General features: G+C 34.9%; 1 protein-coding gene across 6 annotated transcripts in view, besides 7 other annotated features; it reads left to right on the top strand.

The window, feature by feature from the left end:
- SOX6 (SRY-box transcription factor 6) overlaps nucleotides 1-24,552 on the top strand; it is a 772,029-nt gene that overhangs the window by 545,335 nt on the left and 202,142 nt on the right. For all 6 annotated transcript variants that reach the window (NM_001367872.1, NM_033326.3, NM_001145811.2 and 3 more), the window contains 2 exons: nucleotides 6,188-6,360; nucleotides 9,189-9,257. In NM_001367872.1, coding sequence (NP_001354801.1) covers nucleotides 6,188-6,360; nucleotides 9,189-9,257 — 242 coding nt within the window. The remainder of the gene's footprint in view (nucleotides 1-6,187; nucleotides 6,361-9,188; nucleotides 9,258-24,552) is intronic.
- Nucleotides 3,657-3,801: an enhancer, noted in NCBI's record as "145 bp 11:16210951 sequence used in MPRA reporter constructs". NCBI's record gives its function as "activates a minimal TATA-containing promoter with 11:16210951 allelic activity by MPRAs in C283T melanocytes {active_cell/tissue: C283T}" and the evidence as "EXISTENCE:reporter gene assay evidence [ECO:0000049][PMID:36423637]".
- Nucleotide 3,738: a transcriptional cis regulatory region, noted in NCBI's record as "11:16210951 MPRA-significant variant associated with a GWAS melanoma risk locus at 11p15.2". NCBI's record gives its function as "allelic transcriptional activity by MPRAs in C283T melanocytes {active_cell/tissue: C283T}" and the evidence as "EXISTENCE:reporter gene assay evidence [ECO:0000049][PMID:36423637]".
- Nucleotides 14,173-14,317: an enhancer, noted in NCBI's record as "145 bp 11:16200444 sequence used in MPRA reporter constructs". NCBI's record gives its function as "activates a minimal TATA-containing promoter with rs1455104 allelic activity by MPRAs in C283T melanocytes {active_cell/tissue: C283T}" and the evidence as "EXISTENCE:reporter gene assay evidence [ECO:0000049][PMID:36423637]".
- Nucleotide 14,245: a transcriptional cis regulatory region, noted in NCBI's record as "rs1455104 or 11:16200444 MPRA-significant variant associated with a GWAS melanoma risk locus at 11p15.2". NCBI's record gives its function as "allelic transcriptional activity by MPRAs in C283T melanocytes {active_cell/tissue: C283T}" and the evidence as "EXISTENCE:reporter gene assay evidence [ECO:0000049][PMID:36423637]".
- Nucleotides 15,286-15,430: an enhancer, noted in NCBI's record as "145 bp 11:16199331 sequence used in MPRA reporter constructs". NCBI's record gives its function as "activates a minimal TATA-containing promoter with rs7108091 allelic activity by MPRAs in C283T melanocytes and UACC903 melanoma cells {active_cell/tissue: C283T | UACC903}" and the evidence as "EXISTENCE:reporter gene assay evidence [ECO:0000049][PMID:36423637]".
- Nucleotide 15,358: a transcriptional cis regulatory region, noted in NCBI's record as "rs7108091 or 11:16199331 MPRA-significant variant associated with a GWAS melanoma risk locus at 11p15.2". NCBI's record gives its function as "allelic transcriptional activity by MPRAs in C283T melanocytes and UACC903 melanoma cells {active_cell/tissue: C283T | UACC903}" and the evidence as "EXISTENCE:reporter gene assay evidence [ECO:0000049][PMID:36423637]".
- Nucleotides 22,236-23,824: an enhancer, noted in NCBI's record as "VISTA enhancer hs1720". NCBI's record gives its function as "enhancer in: branchial arch[5/8]" and the evidence as "EXISTENCE:transgenic organism evidence [ECO:0001131][PMID:17130149]".

Here is a 24,552-nt window from a genome sequence, read left to right as displayed (position 1 = left end):
TCTCTTAACTCTTTTTCTCTTTCTCCGTTGCTGTGTTGTTTCTAGATTTTCTCATTAGAAAAACTTAGTTGTCATCACATAGTGGTGACTCCCTTTCAGAGAATATCTATTTAATGAATGACCTGTTTAAGATTTTTATATTGTAAAAGTTCTAGGTATGGGAATACTGTGGAAGAGGTGAGGTAAATCTCCATTTAGTAAAGTGCCCTGCAAGTTGCCTGCCTTATCCAGATCTGGTCTTCAGTGACTTCCCAATGACCAGTCTTATTTCTAGCACCACTGATTTTGATTATATATATTTCATAAGGGCAAAATTAGCAGACTGTAGTGCTAACTTTTGTGAACTGATGTAAAAAAAGGCTTTTAAATACATTTTAAACTTAATTTTTTATTTTAATTTTTCATGCTATATCAATAAGAGAATTGCCTTATTTATCTCATTTTACCTAAATTCTCATCTGTTTTGAATCTTCTCTGTGGCTTTGGGCCTGGGGACAGGTAGTAATAGTTTGTAAAGTTAAAAAAAAAATAGTACATTTCAGTTATTTTTTTTCAAGTTCTTCAGATTGTGACCAAAAAAGGCTAGAGGGCTGATTTTGAAACTGTTATAATGAAAGATGGTATTTGAAAACTTTTGATGGGGGAAATTGTCATCATATTTATATTTTGAAAAGTGTTTCCTTATTTACGCATTATTGACTTCCTATTGAGACTCAAAATTTTAAGTACAACTGGTAAAGAATTCAATGGATCAAATTCAGTAAATCTGAAGTCACTGGAATAAAGGCCCCTAAGAAAAAAAAATGTGTCAATTTTAAAGGTCTTTCCTAACTGAAGACCATTTTGTGATAGAGCCAAAGGTTAATAAAATCAGTAGTGAATGTAGCAATTTTACAGATAAGCTATTCACAACAAGTGTAGTTACTTGAATAAAAAGCTAATTCAGTTCTAAAATGCCACATGCAGTAGCAGTGAATAGCTGCTTTTAGGTGCTTTCTGGAGGAGGATAAAATACAGAATCACGGCACTCTTCTCTTCCAGCGTCCCTGGCTGCCTGTAAATTGCTGTGAATGGGGCTGTGGGCTGACAGGCTCTATTAAGACAAACTGCCTTTCTCATCGGAGAGATAAAATAAATCAGGTGTTTAGTCAAATTAAAATACTTCAGCTGGAGCAGGCCCTGGGGAGCACTGATCCACCTGACTAATCTGAGAGAAACTCAAGACAGATGTGGTTTGGGGATAAAGACGACCCCATGGAACAAAAAAAAAGAAAAAAAAAGAAAAAAAAGAAAAAAAAAACCCTGCTGCACTGTCTTTGGAGTTGGAGAACAGATACAGTTTATAGTAGAGAGTGTCAGGCGCACACTGTGTGATGTTGGATAAAAGGCATGCTGACTTGTAGAGAAGCTGTGTACAGAAGTGTTTTTGCTGGTTCCCTTTTTGTGGTTTGTGAAACTACCTCTGTTTTTATGTGGGAGCTGGGCAGAAGACTATTTTCTGGCAGTGCTTTTTAGAGAATCATTTTAAGATAGCTTGAAGGACATGAAACAGATGATGTTAGGTAGCTCCTGATGACCTCTGCTGGCCTGGGCAGATCATCAGAAGTTGGTTTACTTTTTTTCCAAGTTGATTTTTTCAAACCTCCAAACATGATTTAGGACATGATTTTTCTTTTCTTTGTTTTTGAGAGATAGTCTCTTCCACCCAGGCTGGAGTGCAGTGGCGCAATCATGGCTCACTGCAGTCTTGAACTCCTGGGCTCGAGTAATGCTCCTGCCTCAGCCTTCTGTGTAGCTGGGACTACAGGTGTGTGCTACTATGCTTAGCTTATTTTTTACAAAAAAATTTTTGGAGAGACAGGTTCTTACTATGTTGCCCATGTAGTTCTCAAACTCTGGGCTTCAAGCGATCCCCCCACCTCGGCCTCTCAAAGTGTTGGGATTACAGGCATGAGCCTCTGTGCCTGGCCAATATACTATTTTCTATATAGAGTTAATGCATAAGAGCATTCGAAGATCTTTTGCCATCCTTAACAAAACTTAACTATATTTTGGTTGCTCCTTTATGTCTCATCATTATCTGTTCTTTCAGCAGCTCTTACAATTGTAGTTCCTTTGCCATGGTAAAGTTTCATGTTTAATTTTTTTAAGATAAAAAAACTTGTATTCACAGGTTGGATGGTCAGTGTGATTTAGACTTGATGTTATTTTTATTACAGTGGCATGAACACATGCTGTTAATTAAAACAGGAAAATCTGCATTATAGGTCTTAAATGCTTGGCTTCAAACCATTATACCCGAACAAATACAGTGGGTACAGAACAGAAAAATGCATCCCCCTCCCACTGCCACGCACACACACAAATTAATCTGCACATTTTGAATATAAGCTATTGTATGGTGTTTTTTCCCTAATTTGAGCCCCAAGGGCTACTTGGCTATATATATGATCCCCAATACAGGGGGAATTTCAGACTTGTTACACTACTATGCTTCACTCCAACTTCATTTTTAATGCCACTATTCAAAATATATACATTAAAAAATCTGAGGATGCTCAAGTTCCTTATGTAAAATGGCCTGGTATTTGCATATAACCCATGCACATTCTTTCACATACTTCATATCATCTGTGGATTACTTATAACACCTAATACAATGTAAATGCTGTGTGAATAGTTGTTATATTGTGTTGTTTTATTTGTGTTATTTTTTATTGTGTTGTTATTATTTTAAAAATATTTTCAGTTCGAGATTGGCTGAGTCTGTGCTTGGTTGAATAAGTGGATGTGCAACCTATAGATAGCGGGGGTTGACTGTATGTACTCCTCAAGTTTAAGGAAAAAATAGTGACAGCCTTATATGAGTGTTTAAATTCTCATTTTAAAAATACTGCTTTCTGCATTTTCTTCTTAAACGTGTATCTTTTAAGTCCAAAGAAAAAATTTAGATGCCACTGACTGTTTACAATTGGATTCAGCTAAATGGTGTTATTCCATAAATTCAGTTATACTTATATATATCTATTAACCCTGGAAGCACCAATGCATTTATAAATCTTTTGGCTTCACTGTGAACAGAAGAGGCTAAGAAGTCACTTAGGTATTATCTTTAGCCTCTCTGTGCCTATGCAGAGGAGAAAGGGGAGTAAGTTGAAGATGATTGAAAGATTGTTTAAGATGGAAGAAGAGAAAAATTTCCAGTATTTATTGGGGAATCTAAATACTAGATCCAACTCTGGTATTGGTCCTTGCCCAAAATTTCCTGTGTAAGCTCTTCTTTATTAACAAAAAATTATAGTACAGTAACTATCACTATATCCAATAAACCTTCTCTTAACTTATATCATATAGACAGGTATTATGATACAATTACACGTATGTTAGAATATTGCACAAAATATAATAATAAAATACGTATACATCCCATTTATCTCATGTCTTTCCAATCTATTCACCACACTGCAACCAAAATGACCATATCACTCATTTCGTAAAATACTTTAGTGATTAGGAATCATTCTTAGAATAAATAGGTAGATCATCACACATGGTCTATAAGGGGCTGAATGGTATGCCCTCTTACTAGCTCTCTAGCCTAATCTAATGCTCTATTCCTGTTTATTTTCCTTGCTCAAGTTTCACTAACTTCTTTCAATTTCTGGAACACACCAAACTGCCCCCCATCCCCAACATATGTGTACACACACACACACACACACACATGCACACACACATGACCTTTGCCTATAGCGTTTTCTTTTTTGGAAAAGCTCCTTGACCACCAACCACCCTCTTGCAACCCTTTCTTCAGTTGTAGTTTCCTTGTCATTGCAATTTCACGTTTTCTGGAAAGCTCCTTCAAACCATGCTCCAACTCTTCGTCTAGTTAACTCCTATTTATCCTTCTGTTAATTTGTTGCTTTTTCAGATTACTTTCCCTGAACTTGGGCACCCAAATTTGGTTAAACTCCCACAGAACATTTGTCTTATTTGTATTCCTATGTAGTTGTAGTTTACATTTACATGTTTGATTACATGATTAAGGTGTCTCTTCAATTTTTTTGTTTGTTTGTTTTTGAGATGGAGTCTCACTCCTACACCCAGGCTGGAGTGCAGTGGCATGGCCTTGGCTCACTGCAACCTCTGCTTCCCAGGTTCAAGCTATTCTCCTGCCTCAGCCTCCCAAGTAGCTGGGACTACAGGTACCCACCCCTATGCCCAGCTAATTTTTGTATTTTTAGTAGAGAAGGGGATTCACCGTATTGGTCAGGCTGGTCTTGAACTCCTGACCTAAGGCGAGCCACCTGCCTCAGCCTCCCAAAGTGCTAGGATACAGACATGAGCCACCGTGCCCAGCCTATCTCTTCAAATTTTGAACTACAAAATGCCTAAGAATAGGGACTGTGTCTGCTTCTACTTGCCATGCTGTCCTTAGTTCTTGTTATAGTACCTGATACATAGTGGCAATTCAGAAAATGTTTATTGAATTAAAAATTTATTCAATATGTAAATTTAAAAAATATCATTCTTGTGTTGTATTTTCTCATTCCTGTATATATTAACAAATACATTAGTTGAACTTTTTGTCCTTTTCAAGAGATCTTATGGATCTTATGATTCTTTTTGGGAACCTGCTTTTGTATTTTGGAAGTTCTGGATCAATAAATTCTTCCTTTTACCAAGATGAAATTCCCATTGCTGAAGTAAAAACCCATTTTCTTTTAATAAATTCCAGGATCTAGAAGGAGTAGCTGGCGACTAGCCTTGATACAGTATTTGTTTCCTTATCAGTGGAATACACTTTCTAACAACTTTATTTTTCCTTTAATTTTGATTTTAGGCCATCATTGAGCTCAGTAAATCTGAGGATATAAGAGATACTGACAGCTTTTCTTTTTTTTTTTTTTTTTGGACCTGAGTTGACATTAAGAATCCCACGATAGTCCTAAATGTGGTAGCTTCTCTGTTGATGTCAGTCCTACCTTTCAGAAATCATATACTAACAAGTGCTAGCCTGCATCCTCTGAAGTTTCTCTTTCTCCTTTGGGCTACTTTAAAAATAAGGCCACTCATAATTAAAATATTTTCTGGGATTGTAATGGTGCTTTCTTAGTAGGAATGAGGGGGTTTCATAAGGAGGTTGGAAGTCTCTCCTTCTGCACACACAAAAATTGGCAATCTTTGTCCCCTTTGACAGCTGGTGGCATTTTTCTGAAAAGCTTTCAAATCACAGATCATTTCTTCATAATGAAATCTGTGTGGTTCAGATACAGTGGGTTGAAATTCTTATCTTATGCTGCGGTAAAATGCTCTAATTTAGATTCACAAAAGGATTCTGTACCGTTTACTTAGGAGAGCTGTGCAATTTGCCCATAAAAAGACTGTTCAGCACCATTAGTGCATACCATAAGTGTTCAGCGACATCATATTCATTAAACAGCATATCCTTATGCATAACCTTTTCAACCTTGAATGTGTTTTTTTCTCTTTGAAAAATGACAAATGACAAAGGGGTGATAGAGCCCCCCAAGCAACACTGTTGCCTTTACAGATGAACTTGGGAATTTTACTTGATCCTTTCTCAGGAAAAAAAAAAATCACATTCAATCTTTTCTCACCTGAGGCAGTTTTAATTCTCTCTGTAGTATTCTCTCTATGGCCAAGAGATTGACTGCTAACTTCTAAACTTCAGTGACATATCTTTGTACAATAGAAAATTTTGTGAGGGTAAGGATCAGAAACTTCCTCAAGTAACTTTTATTAAGCACCTACTATGTCTTAGATACTGTTAGTCACTGAGCTTAGAGGTGATTATAGAATATTAATATAATCTATAGTTTCTGATCTTTCATATTAAATATCATGGATTTCCTAGCTTAATCAGATAGATTGGGGGCAAAAAGGAGAAAATGGGGTAAGTCTGCTTTTTTTAGAGCAAGAGGGGAGAGTGAGTGAGAATTTTACCAGTGACAATACTTTCTCTTGGCAGGAACAGTGAGGAACCCTAGCTTTCATTCCACTGCTGTAATTACTCTCTGGTGTTCCTGTACCCTCAATGGCCTCCAGTCATTGTCCCAGATCTTTAAATGTCTTAGGATAGTCCCTTTCTAAATTCTGCCCTCCTTTCCCTTATTCGTCCAGGTATTTCTCAAGCTTGTGAGATCTCTTCTTGCTTCCATTTTAGGTACACCTGAGAGCCTGGCAGAAAAAGAACGGCAGCTCTCCACCATGATTACCCAGCTGATCAGTTTACGGGAGCAGCTACTGGCAGCGCATGATGAACAGAAAAAACTGGCAGCGTCACAAATTGAGAAACAACGGCAGCAAATGGACCTTGCTCGCCAACAGCAAGAACAGGTGAGCCCTGCAAAAGGCACTGACGAACTGGAGATGTGGAATGTGCCAGGCTCAGAGAGTAATCAAATTGATTGGCTTATTTGTTGTAAGCTTTCCTAAAAAATAAAAATAAAAATAAGAAAAGATGGAAAAAAAAAACAAAGCCTTCTGGAAATCTAGGGTCTTCAAGAATTTTGAGGGAATATGTGTACAAAAAAGGCATCATAGCAACTGGGCATAACTAAAATGATACATTGTTTCAGGTTTGGATTTGATTAATGATTTGGGGATGCTTATTCATATAGACATCACATATAATCCCTCTGTAGCTTCACTATGAGTAAGTGACTTTTCTCTGGGCCTTATTTTCCTCCCAGAAAAAGGGGGTTCTGTTCCAGAAAAACTTTGGGAATCTTTTAGCTCATTGGTGCAATGATTTTCTTCAGGTTTAAAGTCCAAAGAGGTGACCATACATTTCAGTTTTCCCCAGATAGCCCTGGTATAATGCCTGTTTTCTAGAGTAATAATACCCTGCCTCCTTTTACTTGTGAAAGTTTTCTTGGTTTGGATGATACATCACATGGTCACTATTTATAGCATAGGTAAGTCATTGAATACAAATTAGTACATCGTTCCTAAAAGTATTTGACCTGATTGACTTAGAATTGAGAATGAAGAAAAAATAGCAAAGTTTAAATGTATGTCTTTTAAAAATAAATCACTTTCCCAAATGTTTTTTCTTGTCTCATAAGAGTACATTAATCTAACAATGATCCTATAGAGTAGTCCCTGATGCTTTAGATCAGACAGATCTAAATTAATGTGCAGTTTTTAGGAATCTGACATTATTACTGGAATTATCTTTTCAGTTAAATGTATTTTATAGGAGTATATAGAGCAATATATGCTCTGTTGATTTTAATGAGTTGTGATGTCTGGTATTTTATATGCTTGAATATTTGCCCACATGTAGGAATATGGACTCAGCCCCTAATGGAAAATAACATAAAGGAACACTGTAAAAAATCAGAAGTTAGAATGTCATTTAGCCATCCAGAGATGACACAGTAATTAACTATTGACACTTGTGAATAAGCTAGCACAAATTAATCTTGACACATTTGCAGACGAGTGATATCTTACAGTGAACACTTTGTAATTATATTTCAAAATGAAAATTAAATGACACTTAAAACTAGGTTGTCATGCTCAATGAAGCGAGCATGTAGCTCAACCTATTGGCAAATAAAATTCAGAATTTGAGCCACATGGCGCTTATGTACCATACTTCACTGTGTCAAACCCATACGTCTAGAGTGGATGATAGTAATTGCACTGTGGTGTTTTGGATGCATTTCTATGCAGCACTTTATCATTTAGGAGGGACCATCAATATTAGATGCCTAGTGGCATTTCACTGGTTTGCTAAGAAGAAATAAATATTCAGAGGATCCAGCATCTATACCTAGAGCTGCAGAATGAGTTGTACATTTCTGATTTGAATATCCACAAGCAGAGTGGGCCATCCCAACCTGATTAAATACTATTTCCACTTTAAGTATAAAGCTCTGACAAGGAGGAGTCTCATTTCTCACACTGTAGTCTACATTAGGGGCAGCTTTATCATGGCTTCCAGTAGGAACCAGTTGTCATCCAAAATCAGAAAGCAACATTTAGAAGCAGACTGCTATTTTGTCATCTTGTGCTGAATGAAATATAATTTGGGCACTACCCCCTGCATAGGCTAAAACATTAAAAAGGCTTGGGAAGTATATAGCTTGGAACTGATTTACACTCATTTTCACTTCCAACATAACCCATTCTAGAATACTGGCTTTGGAAGTAGGAAGAAATAGGAAGAAAAGACACTCTTGACAAAAAGGCACTACTAAACAAAGTCCTGAGTGCTCTCTGGCTGCTTTTCTCTCTGGCTTCCTAGGTTGGCAGTGAGTGTGTTCTCACTAAGGATCATCTCTCTGGACTTCGAGCTGTAGCAGCTCAGCTTTTGAGTCAATAGTGGCCTGATGCCTGACTCATACTTCATAGTAAACACTATTATCCTAAGGAAGCTATTTGACCTCCTGAGGGCCAGAGACAGTCATCAGTAGGGCTTGCATTAAATGGTTAACATTTCTTTTTATAGACCAGATAATGTGTTTAGATGTTGAATTTGATTGTTGGATGAAACAAGGAAATATAAAATTTGTATATAGATCCTGTACTATGAAATAAACACATTGTTCTCAAAAGGATAAATGGATAAATGTTAAATTACAGCTTAATTTGTTTTTAAAAATATTTTGTACATCACATACAGCATCAACAAAAAAAGCTAAAGATTTTTTACTTTTTGCTGTGTCCTTTGGCACTCCTTTAACAATATTTGTAAATGTATCAGTTCTGAAAATCTTTGTATCAGGAAAGGTTTTGCCAACATAGACCATATTAAGCAATAATACGAAGATTTTTCCTGTCTTTGCTTACAGATTTTACTTTTTACATCCAAATTAAGCCATTTAGAAAAATGTAGCCAGAGATTTTTCTATCTCTATTCTACAAGGATTCGATTTCTAAAATCCCATGATTTCCAGCTGACCAGTGCAGATATAGGTGAATAGCTCACAAATATAATAGAAGGGGTAGTTTTCCTACAGATAAAGCAGAGAGGTGGCACTTGTTTAAAAATTTTTCCTTTCATCCATCTTTCTGATTTGGCCTCTCTCATTTTATAGGAACTCTTTCACATAGAGGTGCGGTAAAAGATTGTTGTAATACCAGGAGAAATACCTGAGGTAATGGCAGAGGTGTAAGCATTTCATTTTAACTTAATGAAACTTTATTTCTGATAGATTGCGAGACAACAGCAGCAACTTCTGCAACAGCAGCACAAAATTAATCTCCTGCAGCAACAGATCCAGGTCAGTGTATTTTATTACTCTCGTCTGATTATACTTAGATACTTTCCTCCTTGAAAATGGAATTTAAAACTCTGCAGATGTACCCCTGTCTTATAAACAGCACCAATAAGGCTGTTTTCAAGGATGTTGTGCACAATTCTATAATTGAATGTAAGAAATATGGACTAGATGGTGGCCTAAGCATTATTCTCTGATGTGATATGTAAGCAAAATAACCCTTATCTTTTTTCTTTTTGCCTTTTGCCTAACACTACTTACTGGGAACCTAATGGTCTCCCAGGTAGCATACAGATGGTATTTTTTATTGCCACTGACCACTTTCTGTTTTGTATTTTACCATGTAATAGTACTGTAGAGAGAACTTACTTTTAATTTACTTGTTAGGACTAATTGGACCAATTATGAGAAAAATCTGGAAAAAGGCTGTTAATAATTTGTTCCTTAACAAATATTAATTGTATTCCTTCTAGATGCTAAAGGGAATAGAGAGATTAATGAGTGATAGTTTGTCTTCAAGGAGCTTACAGTCTAAAAAGGAAGAAAAACTTGTTCCTGAATAATTATGACATGGTGTAGAAAATCCCTTTTTCTTATGGCAATGTAAAAATATATAGATCATAATTACAATGATCTGGGGAGGAAAGGTGATGGTCTGATTTCCGACATTCTTTTAGATACTTGATGGTTAACTCAATGAACAGCTATTTGAGATAGGCAAGGAAAATGGTTTCCCTTTCCAAATAGAAATATAGGTGTGTGACTTCTAGAAAGCCCTAGAATAAGGAACTGGCTGTCTAGTGACTAATCCTTAGAAACACTGATCACAGAGTTATGCCTATCCTACGGTAGACTCTTGTTTCCCTTGATTATTGGAGAACCTGCTGGGATCTTGATTCAAACTAGCTGGGCCAGTGTATTCTGAATTATGTTATTACTTTTCTTGAGGTTAATATCATGCCCTTCTGTATTTTAAAAAAAAAATCAGTAGCATGAGGTCATAGTTTACTGCAATATTCTATCTCATTGATGAATAACAAGGATTTTACCTTCGATCCTTGCTTCATTTTGTTAATCATACTCAGTGTTCCAGGTAGTTACTGCACTTAAAGTACTAATTTGGTATCTGAAGCAGTCCCTTTACCTAATTGGCATTTTGTCCAGCTATTTTCAGTAGGAGATCTTAGCCAACTTTTTTGTTGGTTTTTGTCGTATTCAGTATTCCATATTCAAGTACACATGTTGCAAAATAAAAAGTCCAAATATAGATGAGTTGTAATGTCTGGCATTTTTGACAGTCAGCCTTTACAATTAAATCTTGGAATAATTTCTCATCCTGATATCTCTTTTATGACTCATGCTGAGACCCTTAATTAAATAACTGTCCAGGTGTTCCCTTGTTCTGCCCTTATTAGAATTTTCAGTGTAGCTCCTACTGCTCAGGTCAAGATTTTTAGCCTGTGGCTTCCTACATTTTTCTGTAGATCCCTCTGTAGGAACTCAGTAGGTGTTAAATAACATGATCGTTTAGTTCTCTCTGTTTCTCCTATTTGTAAAGCAGGAATGGAGGAAGTTCCCTGAGGTGTTCTTATATCAGTTAATTATTGTTTTTACTACTGCTTTATAACTTACTTGTTTATTCTTTTCTAATATATTTTACTTCTTAGTCCAGTGCTGTTTATACTGACTGGTTGTCTTCACTGATGTTTTCCTGTGGCACTGAGAACTCCAGGTGAACAGCAACCAAATCAGTTCAGAATATTTTAATGAAATATTTTTAGTGTGTATTACTTATATATGATTGTGTAGTATAAATTGACTACATCTTTTTCAGAAAACTACAGAACATGATCTTAAAATATTCATTGGAATGAACATTTGGAAACATCAATTTGAAAAGATAGGAGTAATGTTTTTCAAGTTTTCTAATAGAAGTTTGATTGCTTTTAAAATGTGTGGATATTTCTTGTTGTTTAATTTTTTAATTTAAGCTAATCAGCACTTGAACTTAGCAGTATAAATTATAAAATAAAGATAGTCAATGTCAGAGTTACATTCACTTTAGAAATATAAGATTCTTTGTAATAAGAACTCAAATTTTTTAAAAAATAAGAGAAAGCAATAAGACCTGTATTTATAGTTCATTCTGTCCTGAGCTACTGCTTTATGGCATATCTTGTCAGTATTTACCTTCTACATGTGAGACCATTCAAAAAATTTTTCAAATGCTGAAAAACACGTACTCCTTACACAAAATCACAAAATGTATTCATCTCTGAGACTTACAAAACAGGTATTTGACATTCAGACTTTCTTTTTTTTTTTTTTTGGAAGGGGAAAGGGTAACTATATTTTCAAATATGGCTTTTGAAATTTAATCAAATTTAAGAGAGAGATTATTGTTGGATTAATTTTAAATGCTTTCTGAGCAAAATATGAGACTTGAGGGATGCTTCAAACATTTTTTTTCTATCAAAAAAAGAAACACTTTCTCATTTGAACCCAAAACAGAACAAAGGATAAAACAAAATTATTAAAGGTGAATTAAAGATTATTAAATATATTAAAAATGAAACTTAACTTCTCTTTCAAAAGCAAATGATGAATACAGAGACAATTTGAGCAAGTTTGACACTTTTTTTTTCTTTTTATATCTTGAGTCCTAGAACCTATTAGCTTACATGGTCAGCAAGATTAAATCATGGCAACTGGCTATGGGTCATGAGTATGAGGTGGTTGCATTCAAAATCGTTCCTCTAGTTTAGAATGCTGTCTTCTGAAATAGTACTGTTTTTTTCCCCCCAATTTGCAAGCTTTAATAGAAACAAAGGGAAGAGTGCCTAACCTCTTGTAACAACCCCACACAGACACATCTGGGTCTATTATAATGGAAACAAATGAAAATGAATGAATGGCTTCCACAAATTGAAAAACAGGATTTTTCATTAGAAATAGGAAAAGGCATGATTAAGATAGTATTGTAAAAGTTCCCATGTTTATTTTATTTGCAATTATTCAGAACTTATATGTGCAGTTAAGAACAATTTTATTTATATGTCTTCCTTGAATATATTTTTTAACATTATTTTGCCTTCGTAAATTCTAACTAAACTTTTAAATAGATTCTTCTAAAGCCAAGTAAACCGTGTTGGAAAAGTAAGATGTATGATTTTGTGAACTGTTTTTATAGTTTTGATGAGTCCATTTTTACCTTTTAATAAATCAGGATAATAATTATAAATGATTATTAAAATATCACTTTAATATTAGGTCTTTTCGGAGAATGTTTGCTTTGTAAATTCAGATCCCTCTGTGCTTTGGGGAAAATGATGATTTCTCTAATTTTTTACATGTGAAGTAATTCTCCTGATATGGAGCCCAGGAAAAAAATAGATATTTTTGATATTTCCAGGACAGAAATAGCATATTTTTTACCAAGTCTATGGAAAGCAAAACTAATAGGTCATGGAATATGGATCTTTGGAGTTGGGAATATTGATTCATAGGCTGTAATTTCAAAGGAAAGATAACTGCTTCAGTAATTTCATCCTCCCCCTCCCACTCATTGAACTGTAGTATCTTAGCTAATATTTCGAAGCATTTTACTTCTGAGTTATGCTAACTGGTAAACAGAATTCACTTTTAATTAATTTGACAGTTGTAAACAGATCAAAGCATGTTTACAGTATTTTAATCAATGATTAAATATAAGACAATTCTAGGCAAAACAGAAAATATTTTATAAATCCTCATTTCTTGATTTTTTTCACATATTTATTCATCTAACCTCATTTGACCAGGCCATGGTTTTGAATCTGGAGATTTTTTTTATGGATCCAATATACCACATTCTTTGGTTTCTATAGCACATCAATAGGAACACATTTAACGATGGAATTTTGCAACTAGAACTGAGTCTTTGCAAAAGAATTCAGCTCATTAAAATATCTCTGTGAGAAACTTCCTTTTCCAGGGATGAATAGTATTATCCAATTATTTGTGTCTCTTCAGACTCCAATTTTAGAGTTATTCAAGTGGCTTATATTGTGAGCTATATAGGCAGTGTCCTCTCCTCACATAACTAACTAAACAACGATCTCTTAAGAATGGACTGGCTGGATGGGGTTTTATTTAGGCATTTGGCTTTCTGGGCAAGGGCCAATGATTTAGTCAATTCATACACATGTGTCTTTTTTGGGTAAAATCGTGAGACTTGAAATTTTTAGTGCCTTGTTTTCTTTATGATTAATGTGCAATATTCATTGCCCTCCCCTCATCATTTAACATATGCATTAGATGGCAAACTTTATTTGTAGAAGGCCTGAACTAAATGCCATTGCTGCGTCTTTGCAAATATTCTTTGTCTTATCTGAAAACTTTTTCTTTTAAATGTTGAAATACATATTGCTTATTTTCTTTTACCCAAACCAGTGTTCATTACTTCACTGAAGTTGTACTCTGTTCTTAAGCATATATGATTATCTTTCATATACAGTGTTTTTAATTTTGATTATAATATATTCCTGTGTGCTATTTATATATTTTGTGAGTCTGTATGTTTCCCACGTGGTAGAGCATCATTAAATGTGTGTTATCCTTTCTTCCTTTTTGGTAACCAGAAAGATGCTAATATTATCAGCAAGGAAGTGATTGTCCTTAAACAATTAAACATAATAACTTGAGATGTCCTCTCACCTTTTAAGGAGATAGACCTTACCTTTTGTTTCCTTCAATATGATTAACTACAGGCATTTCAGGTATCTGCTGAGCAGAATAAAGGACTACCTTTTTATGTGAAGTAGTTGTCTAAAGATCAGAAATAATTGCTTTGTACATTAGCCTTCATGACCTGCTTGACCTAGTTAATTAATTTTTTGCTAGCATAATAATAATAGATATATATTGGAGATATGTTTCATCATTAAGTATCTAATTGACCTCTAATTTTAAGAGCTGCACCTTCCATTTATTGTCTTTTGGAAATGGCTGGAGCACCCAACAGAAAAACCGAGGACAGTCAGAAGCTGACTTCAATCCCACATAGTCCCTCTGTCTTAGGTTGTATTTCTTTGTTATTTGTATTTATCATTGATGAACAAAATGCAATTACAGTGCTCCTGTTTTGGCTCTGGCAAATAGTCGTTTTTTGTATGTTATTGATCAGGTAATGGATCTCCTTCCAACTTTCTCTGAAAAGGACTAAATAAACCTATTGAAAGTAATTTGATACTTCTATTGGCACTGTACATACATATGATACTCCCTTGCAAAGAAATGAGGGGTATAAACAAAGCTTAGAAGTCTAGGATTAGCCCCTAGCTTCCGCAAGCCCTTAAAATATTTTGTAATTCTATCTTCAATCATGAATTAGCCAGGAAAAACAGACCCTCTTTCCTCTCTCTATGTCTCTGCTGTATGCTGTTTTTAATTGCCCACAGGCAGGCTGTTGTGATCTTTGGATGTTTAAAACCAAGATAAAAATGCAAATCTAATTATTTCTTTTATGTAATCTAATTAACTTTAAAAGTCATGATAGATGCTCTATAGTCTGCTTCAAACATTTTAATAATAAAGTTTCTGGGTTATAAAGAATAGGTAAAGCTGCTATAATTATGACTAGCAAGGGCTATAACAGCAAAAATTACAAATTCTTGTTGTGAACTAAAACTACACTTTAGTTTTTCCACATTAGTCATGCTAGACTGTTTGTTATAGTTGGAATGCGCCTAAAAATAAGAGAACTGACCAGATCCCAAGAGCTACTCAATGGAATCAGCTAGTTACCTGTTTTTCCGAGTGTGGCCTTATGGCAAAGATCTCATTCAGCATACCAAAACCTGAAGGTGAATCTCAAAGCTTTTTCTGCGCTATCCTTCAGTTACTTCAGTCTCTACACAACCCGCCCTTCTCTATCTGTGCTTATCTCTTAGACTGCACTGTACTCCCCAGCTCTCTCCCAAACCAGTGGTACTAAAAATTCAGGGAAACCAGTCTCTGCTTCTTTCCGGAATTAAAGTGGAAGAGTGCCTTACCTCTTCAGAGGCAGAGTGAGGTGCAGCAGAGTGGGCCAGATGTTCCAGGTGAGGCCAGCATGTGACATTACATAATACTGAATAGGAAAATGTCTCTCTTCTATTTTTTTTTTCCTTGATCCTTCTCATTATATTGAGGGCTCAGTTTAATGTTAGTCTTTAATACTCTTCTAGTATGTACTAAAATCAGAGAGAGAGAGAGAGAATGAGAGAGAGAGAGAGAGAGAGAGAGAGATCATCTTATTCTCAGAGCCTTTGGATGCAATATGGCAGTCAGCTGGAATTTAAATAAATTTAATGTTTTCCTTTACATGGTTATCTGGTTAGCTTCTATTTACGGCAGGTGATTTTAATTTTCTATTTGAAGTATAATATGAAGTTTCCTTTTGAAGTGTATATACACCAAAAGAAAAAGTCAAATTAAAATCTTAAGCAAATAGTAATTAGGTACTTGGATATGACAAAATTATGAAGATAGTTCTCTAATGGAATTTTGGGGAACCCTTGAAAGAGTACTACAGTAAGAGTTGTATTAAACATTCCCCCTCTACCCTGCCAGCACTTTCACAGAATGTTAAACTCGAAAACGTCATCATGATTCTCATTCACTGGATAGAGGGAGAATAGGTAGCTATCCATGTTGAAGACAATATAGTAAGTTTATCATAAGCCATACTTTAAAATAACCCTGAGATTATGTTTTTCCACCTTTTGGGGAATTAAAATGTCCTTTCTATGAAGTATTGGTGATAATAGGTGGTATGTGCTTTCTTTGTTTTTCAATAGTTTTATTTGGTAAAATAAAAAGTTCCCAACTATATGTAAGTCTCCACTTTTGCTTGTCTTTGAAATTTTGCTGATCTATGATATATAAAACCTTTGGGCATGCTTAATCTAGTCCAAAGCCTTTAGATTACACGAGGAAACTGAGGTATAGACCAGAGGCTTGTCTGAGCTTAAAAAGCAAGTATTATCAGAGCCACAAGGGGAACCCAGGTTTCTTGATGCCTGATGGAGCACTGTTTCCAGTATTTCAGATCCTTTCTCCATTTGCCCTTTTTGTGACTTGAATAAATCTTACTGCACTTCAGTTTCCTAGTTTACAAAATGTGTCTAATAATACCTAACATCTAAAATGTCATTACATTCTCTTTATCCTTAAATAGAAAAAATAGAAAATTTGCCACTAGACTCTCTCTACCCTTAGAACTACTATAGCTGTGGGTATATACCTACAAGGCAAGAGATAAAAAGAATATAATTGGAATCTTTTTGTAGTGCAATGGGAGGTGTGTATATGGCTGGGTGACTCTTTTGGTGTTTACATATGAACCTTTTAGACAGTTAATTATACTACTTCCTGAGGGCTTTAACGTGATGTGTCACTATACTGAGGGTCAGACACCTTTAATATTAATAACTTTTTTTTATAACTACCTTCTTCATCTGATGAATGTGAGCAGTGAGTGACAGCATTCCATGCTAGTGGTTCTCAACCTTGGTTGTCCCTTGTAATCACTTGGAATCTTGTTAAAAATACTGATGCCTATCCCAAAGATTTTTATTTAATTGGTCTTGGATACAGTCTGAGCATGGAGAGTATTGAAAAGTTTATAGATGATTCTAGTGGGTAATCAGAATGGAAAAATACTGCTCTATACAGGGTAATGAAGATTAAATGATTAAAGGTTAATGCTAAGTTGTTTAGATTTAGGTTGAATCTCTCTCTCTCTCTCTCTCTGTCTCATCCATCCATCCATCCATCCATCCATCCATCCATCCATCCGTCCGTCCGTCTGTCCGTCCATCCATCCATCCTGAGGGTTGGAGTATACCTTAAATAGTTCATGATGAGTTAAAATATACTTTTCATTTTGGTCATAGCTGTTTTACTTACTAGCTAGAAAGCTTTTAATGGACCATGGTTTAAACAATTTAAATAAATTTAGTTAGTTTTTCTAATAACTTGATTTTTATTTGTCTATGAGGATATTGGCAAGCTAAAATTGTATAGACATCAGAAGGTCTGTGTCTTTTGGAGAAGGTGTATGAAAAAAATGAAGCACAAAATAAGACAAAAATAAGACAAAAAAGTTAGAAAATAAAATCTCAGATGCCATTTGGCTTTTAACTTTCTAAACAGAATAAATTTTAACACAAACATCAACCCATTTTTTAAAAGTGTTTTTTAAAACTTTAAGACATAGAAAAAATCTTGCATCCTGACATATGTAAGGAATGTATGACTCTGAATCTACTTTTAAGTAAATTTGTACATATAAACAAAAGATGTAGAGAATAAGATGTGTTATTTCGGAATGTATGTAATTTAAAAATTTTATAGAACCAGTGCAGGTATTGGAGATAAATAAATTAGGGTTTAAATAACAATTCCACTACCTGTTAGCGCTGTAGTCTGTTTTGTTACTTAGTAGCTGTAAGACAAGTTACTTAATGTCTCTCAGCCTGTATTTCCTAATTCCTAAAGATAATTACAATACCTTACAGTAGCTTTGAGATAATTATATAAAACCCCTAGTAATTGCTTAAGCATAATACATACCACTATCATTGTTGTTTTTGTTCTTGTATGACTAGGTATAGGAATAATTTCAGAGTTTCTAATAGAGAAACCTTCATGTACATATTCTACATGTGCACATATACACACATTTGTATCTATACACACATGCATATTTAGAACCCACAAATTAGTGATGTGAATATAGAATAATCAATGTGTAGGTACTATAATCAATTATTATCACCATGATAGTACAGAGGAAAATAAAGTGCAACAATTTTCCCTGGCTGCCAAACGAGAGCTTTTCAACTGTCAGTGAGTGAGAGTAAGGTTTGTCAGGCACTCAGAAATGGTTGACCAAGTATTAGAGCAGCTTGGAGATTGTATAAAAGAGAGCATAACATTTTATTTTCAAAAAACAGAGTCAAATTCTCACCTCTCAGACTAAAATGGGCTTTGCTATTAGATTCATAGTGCTTGTGAAGTTAGAAGGATGGTAAATGAACCTTTCCAATTTATTTTATAGCTTTTTAAAGACAGTTGAAATTATGTGTTTTAGCTGCACAAAATGCAAAAGTCCTTCTTGCTGAAAATAAAGTTGTTCATATAAATCTTATGTATGCCATCTCCTGTAAGTCAAGCATTTGCCTAGCTTTTGTGAATTATGTCTATACTTAGAATTTAAGAAGTTAAACAGTATGCATACCAGACTTGAGAGATGGGAAATAAAAATTGATATACTATGTGACACTTGATATAGCACAGGGAAATATCTTTTAAATGCTGAGGGGATGTACTGACATAACCATTTTTAATTCACATATAGTAACTTCCCACTCAAAGTTATTAATGTTAGAGTCATGGATTTTTACTTGTACAAAATAACAGCAAATAAATGATGCAAAAAGTATAGTATCTCCTGTAAGAAGCTGAATTACTTTTATCCACTGCTCAATCCATTAAGAAAATGTTAAAGTTGTAATATCAAACAATGAAAGTTAAGGAATTCATAGTCAGAATTAAGGGTTGAGTACATCCTCAGTCAGGTTGTAGTCTGGACTCTAACTTTTGATACATGTATGTTTCAGTGGAAAATTTTTCTCTTAAAATGTCTGCAGTTGAGTTTTCTGCAGTGGCTTCATAACTTCAACTGTGTTTAAAATGCTATAAAATAAATTGGAAAGGTTCATTTACCATCCTTCTAACTTCACAAGCACTATGGATCTAATAGCAAAGCCCATTTTTGTCTGAGAGGTGAGAATTTGACTCTCCACTCATGGACAAAAAAAAAAAAAAAAGAAACAAAGGAAAGGTTAAAAATTAACTGGGTGTGATGGCATGCATCTGTAGTCCTAGCTACTTGGGAGGCTGAGGTAGGGGGATCTCTTGAGCACAGGAGTTTTAGGCTGCATTGAGCTATGATCACTGCACTCCATCCTGGGCTATGGAGAAAGACTCTGTCTCTAAATCAATAATGAAATAAAATAAATAAATAATATAAAAATTTCAACTTTTTTAATATACAAAAGCCATATATGTTAGAAATTTAAGAAAAAACTACAGAAAAAATGTCTTTGAGTAGTAAAGTTATTTTGACTACTTTTCTTGCTCTAGTTTTTTAGTTTTAAAACTTCTTTTCTAGTAATTTTTCTTTTCCAGTGGTTTCTAAATAAAAAATTTACTAGTAGTTTTTCTTGTCTAGTAGTTTCTTTAAAAAAAACAAACACTTTTCTAGTAGTTTAAAAAAAAAAAACAAAAAAACTAAAAACCCAAAGCAAGAAAATTAATACAAATAATTTTAATACTCAAAGACATTTGCCCTAAACATCATATACTTAACCACTTGATATATAGAGTGTATTACAAATTTGGGTCTCTACTGTCAGTCTTACTGAGAAGGAAAGATACTGCATTGATATGGAGGCCAAGGTCCTAAACATAGAGCTTAGGTTACTTCTTCTATGGAATCAACAATGGTCTGAAACCTCCCTCCCAAAAGAAACCCCCCAGGAGCTTAGAAGTTCCAAGGATATACTCCAGTTCTAAGATGGAGTCCATGAGAGGGCCCTCTCAAAGACCAGTGGACCTAACAATCCACATTGGAACTAAATCAGAAAACTTTAACAGAAAAGCAGTTGTGTGGATGCCAACTTCAAGAGCCTAACTTCACTTTTCTATGTAGGCATAGATCTTGCCAATGCTTTCAGTCTGTTTTACTGATATCTATACATGTTTCTAACTCTTATCCTCCCAACCAGCTTTTCCTGGAACACAGTAAATTCCATAGACTTATACGTCCTCTTTGGCTCTGGGAGGCCACAATTTCAAGCCCAGGAAAAAAAAGGCATGGAGATGATAACTGATCTACTCTCAGCAGAAGTTGTTCTTCTCACTCTTATGTAAAGTCTGCAGCCCCAACTTGGAGACGAAATAGTATTAGAACAATGACAGAAAGATGATTAGATTAGTTGACAGAAAGTAGCCTAGACTTGAACTCAGGATGTCTATGCCTGCCTAGTCTTTGTTCTGCTAGCAACTACCTGTCCTGCAGCAAATGACTTTTCTGCCTTTTCATTTTCCATATATTTGAAGAAGGATTATTGTTCAGGATTATCACTGAAGTTCCTTGCAACTCTGGCCTCTGATTCTAGATGACAGGAATTGACTCTGTTACTTTAAAAAAGGAGAGCAGTAGATAGTCGTGCTTAGGAAGCTCAAAGGCAAACGTCAAGTTTGGCCATAGCATAAGACGTGTCCTCTTAGGAGGATGTTTCCATTTCAAACCATTGAAGGGTCTGGAATGATGAGATCAAATTCAGGTTTCCTTTGTGAAGTATTGTGATGGCTTGTAATGCTTGCCCCATGAAATAATGGCTGTAGGTGATTTTTAGAAAAATACATTTAAGAAGAGGGCCTGTAAAGGCCTGCTTTCAGGGAACAGCAAACACATTTCTGCAGCCAGTGACAAACTCCTGACATTACGGCTATATAATGGAAAGAGTGACACAAACTTAATTTTAGTGTTGCAAGTGAAATATCATAATTTTTGGAAACAAATCCTTATAGCTTTGCTAAGGTATTAATTGCAGGAAATTACTGCATATCCTTTTGAAGTATTATGTCAGTGGCATATATAGCACATAACACCTTTTCCTAGTCTCTCTTGTTTTCACCCCAAGTGTTGCATTTTCATTTGAAAAGAGATGTGTTAAGTGGCTAGAACTTTGTCTAACTGTGGGGGTGGTGTTGAGTGTCGGGGGTGGGTTCAGGCAGTCTCAAAACACTTAAGCTGTGAAGGGAGACTTCTCAGTTATGCTTTCTAGAACTGGGTCTCCTGCTTGAAGGATAATGTTGATATGGATATTCTTTTGGCCATTTCTTCATTTCTAACTTGTTAAGTTTCAATTTCTAGTCCCAGTACATTTTCCAACTACAATTTATTGGGTCGCAGGATTTAAAAATGAGAGAATTTCATTTCTGATGTGTGGTAGAGCTTAATACGGTTTTCTGATTTCCTCCCATTTTGTTTGTAGTAAATAGGGTAATTACTCACTAAAATTCTAATATCTTTCAGGGCTTTAGGGATGAATCCAAAACAGAACCATATAATGTTTTATTTAAGCAAATCCATGTTCTTATTAGGCAGTTCACCTTAATGTCATTTTTTATAAATAAACTTTGTTTTATTTTTTCAAGGGTTATTTAATTTATTTTGTTGTACTACCACATCCTGACATCTGCCTTTGCTAAGGCCTGCAGGATGTGATTTGTGGTTTAAAATTTAAAAAAAGATATTATTTAAAAATGATAAATCATTTGGGATACAAAAATATGAATGTAAAAGAGTCTGATGTACTCTATTTCATTTTTTAATAACCAGACACGTGTACCGTTCTGTGTTTGTACAGAGCATTTGTGCCAGTTATGCATCTGATTAATATCTAACTAGATATGAATGAAACCAATTGTGGAGAAACTACTACAATACTGGCTTCTTGGACTGTTTATGTTCCCCATTAATTGCAGGGCTTTACCATATAACCATTGGGTAGATCTGGTTTTACTTATCAAATCCAGATCTGCTTTTTCTCCCCCTGCTGAGTAGGGTGAAGTTTCTTGTGCTACCAGCTTCTTATTATTTTGGGGGTTCACAGCATCTTGAGGATTGAAGCTGTTAGCCCTGGAACTCCCAGTGTTTCTGTGGAAAGATTATCTTTGCTAGAGTAACTCCTTGGTAAGTTTGCTCTACATGCAACACAATCAGGTTAAACAGCATTTTACTTTTAAATGAAGTATTTATTTTAATAATTATGGACAAATACTCATTTCTCCACAGACCTTCCTTACTCTACTTTGGATAAGGGTAGGTCTAAACTGGAGGGCTTTTAAAGTCTGGTCTTTAATCTTTTCCCATAGCCTTCATGTTTTTCCGTAGGGGGAGAAATAGGTGGGAAATGAAGCAGGGGACAGTATAGGATTGATTTGTACATAAATGATAATGTGGTCTTTTTTCAAAAGAGCACCATATTTTCTTTGGAAATGAGAATGCACAAAGGGTATTTTAGTTGGGCTTATAAGAAGACCATTTCCCTTGCCTAGTTAAAAGAGCTGTTACGCAGTAGTTTTAATCTCCACCTTGACAGAACATGTGCCCCTGTGTTCCAAAGGGACAAAATGTATTGAATTTGAAGAGGACAGCAAGTCCGTCCCATTCGGGTCCTTAACCATTTCAGTTTTGCCAGGGCTAGCTTCCAAAGCTAGGTTTAAAAGCAGCTGGGAGATGTACCGTCACTTTACAAAATGAGTATTCTAATTATTAACCATAAAATGTGGGAAAGATATCTGGCAAGAAATCTAAAAAGATAAGCTTCTTCTTTTATGCCGACTGGGGACATTCTCATTATGTTTTTGACTAAAAAAGTCATTGCATTCTGAAAAAAATGAATGATAGAAAGGTTTTTTTTTTTTAAGACTAAGTAGCTGTGAAGTTGTATAAGAAAGAGAAAACACTTTGAAAAGTGGTTAGAGCTCTCATGTATTAAGCACAGCAGATGAAATGATTTATTGGGTTTTATACACATTCTGTAAAGGTTTTATACACATTGCTAACAGAATGAGTAGCAGCCTCTGGGAGCTGAACAGGCCCCAGGGACTAGTCTTTGTTCCTCTGGTCTTGACAGGCATGTGTCTCTGTTAAATGAGGGCTTAATTTCTCTCATATGTGAACAATTTCGAAGCCCAACAAAGACAGCCAGGACTGGAGCTATTTAAAAGAACCAACACAGGAGGAAGCATTCTTGAAGAAAGGGGATGCTAAAAGGCTAATTACTCACGATGGCTTAGCAACTATTTTATTTTTTCCCTAAGCAAGGTTTATTAACATGAATCTACCACTTTTTTTTTTTTTACATAAACACACATTAAAATTACAAGGGTGTATTTTAATTTTTTGTGAAATAGCCATTTGCTGATCTCTGTTCATTGAAAAGAGGTGCCCCCATCAGCACCTCATGGTGGTGTATATCATGGAATATTAATTCACTAGAGGGGGAGGGGAAAGACTAATATACTTTGGATCTTTTCTGTCTCAAGTGGAAGGAATTTAAACTATTTACTAAGCAGCATCCTTGGCAACACTGTGAATCCTTTCTTTAGACAGTAATTGCTTAAAATATGGAGGGAATCTTTATTTCAACATTTTCTGTGAGTGTTTGGCTATGATTCTCTTAGTTTGTTTCAATTTCTAGAAGAAAATCCATCTGTTAAAGGGGTATATGTAAGAGGTTACAGGTATGTCTCTACTTTCATCACTCATATTTTTTAAAAAAGACTTTGTAAACTTGATCATTTTCCCTTTCAACTTGTATTATAATCCTCATTAGCCATTTATCTTAATTTTTGACTACTGATATTTAAATTTCTGTACTTTTCCTTTCAAGCTTAGTAACTTCTTTTAGCAGGTAATGATCTATAAACATTTAAATGTATTTGTGCTGCAACTTTTATATCATATTATATTATAATGATAGGACTACTTAAATGCAAACAATAATTGTCTTCTGATTCATCTATTTTGTATGGTTTTAAAGCAGGATGTACCAGTTATTTGAATTATTTACAAAGAAGCATTATCTATAAATGAAGGGCTCTTCCAACTCTAAACTTCTATGTTTTAAGAATAAAAATGGATCTGAAATAAAATAAATGACATAATTTTAGAGTGTTTACAATAAATTTGTTAAAAATTCCCCAAATATTACAAGCTTACATTTTGACTTTTTAATATAGAAAAATTAGGAAATCCTCAAATATGGAAGTTTGGCACAAAGTCAGACACGCAACAGTATCATTTCATGGGAACAACATTCTGCTGTACATGGTAGCTGTGTGTGGCATGATAGAAAAGGCGAAGAAATTGTTGATTTGATTTGTAATGATGGACAGCTGACCGATAACTTGGTTACATCTCATTATCAAAGTGGTCTTTGTGAATGAATCAGATTTTTCATATGCTATTAGCAGTTGTAGCAAAAAAACCATAATTTCCACCTGCATGCCTATTTCTACTAGAGTATAAATAACTTCTGAAAGTGTCTGAGCCTTGTGTACAGCCATGATGACCTAACTCTGAAGGATATGGGGTGGTATCTTTACTTAGAATGTGAAATGGTGACTATGTGACTTGGAGAAGAAAAAAGTAAAAGCCATTTCCTCCCAGGTGCTTTTCCTTAGCATCCTTGCT

This window comes from Homo sapiens, chromosome 11, assembly GCF_000001405.40.
Source record: "Homo sapiens chromosome 11, GRCh38.p14 Primary Assembly".
NCBI lineage: Eukaryota > Metazoa > Chordata > Mammalia > Primates > Hominidae > Homo > Homo sapiens.
This window is presented reverse-complemented; position numbering and strand designations above follow the sequence as displayed.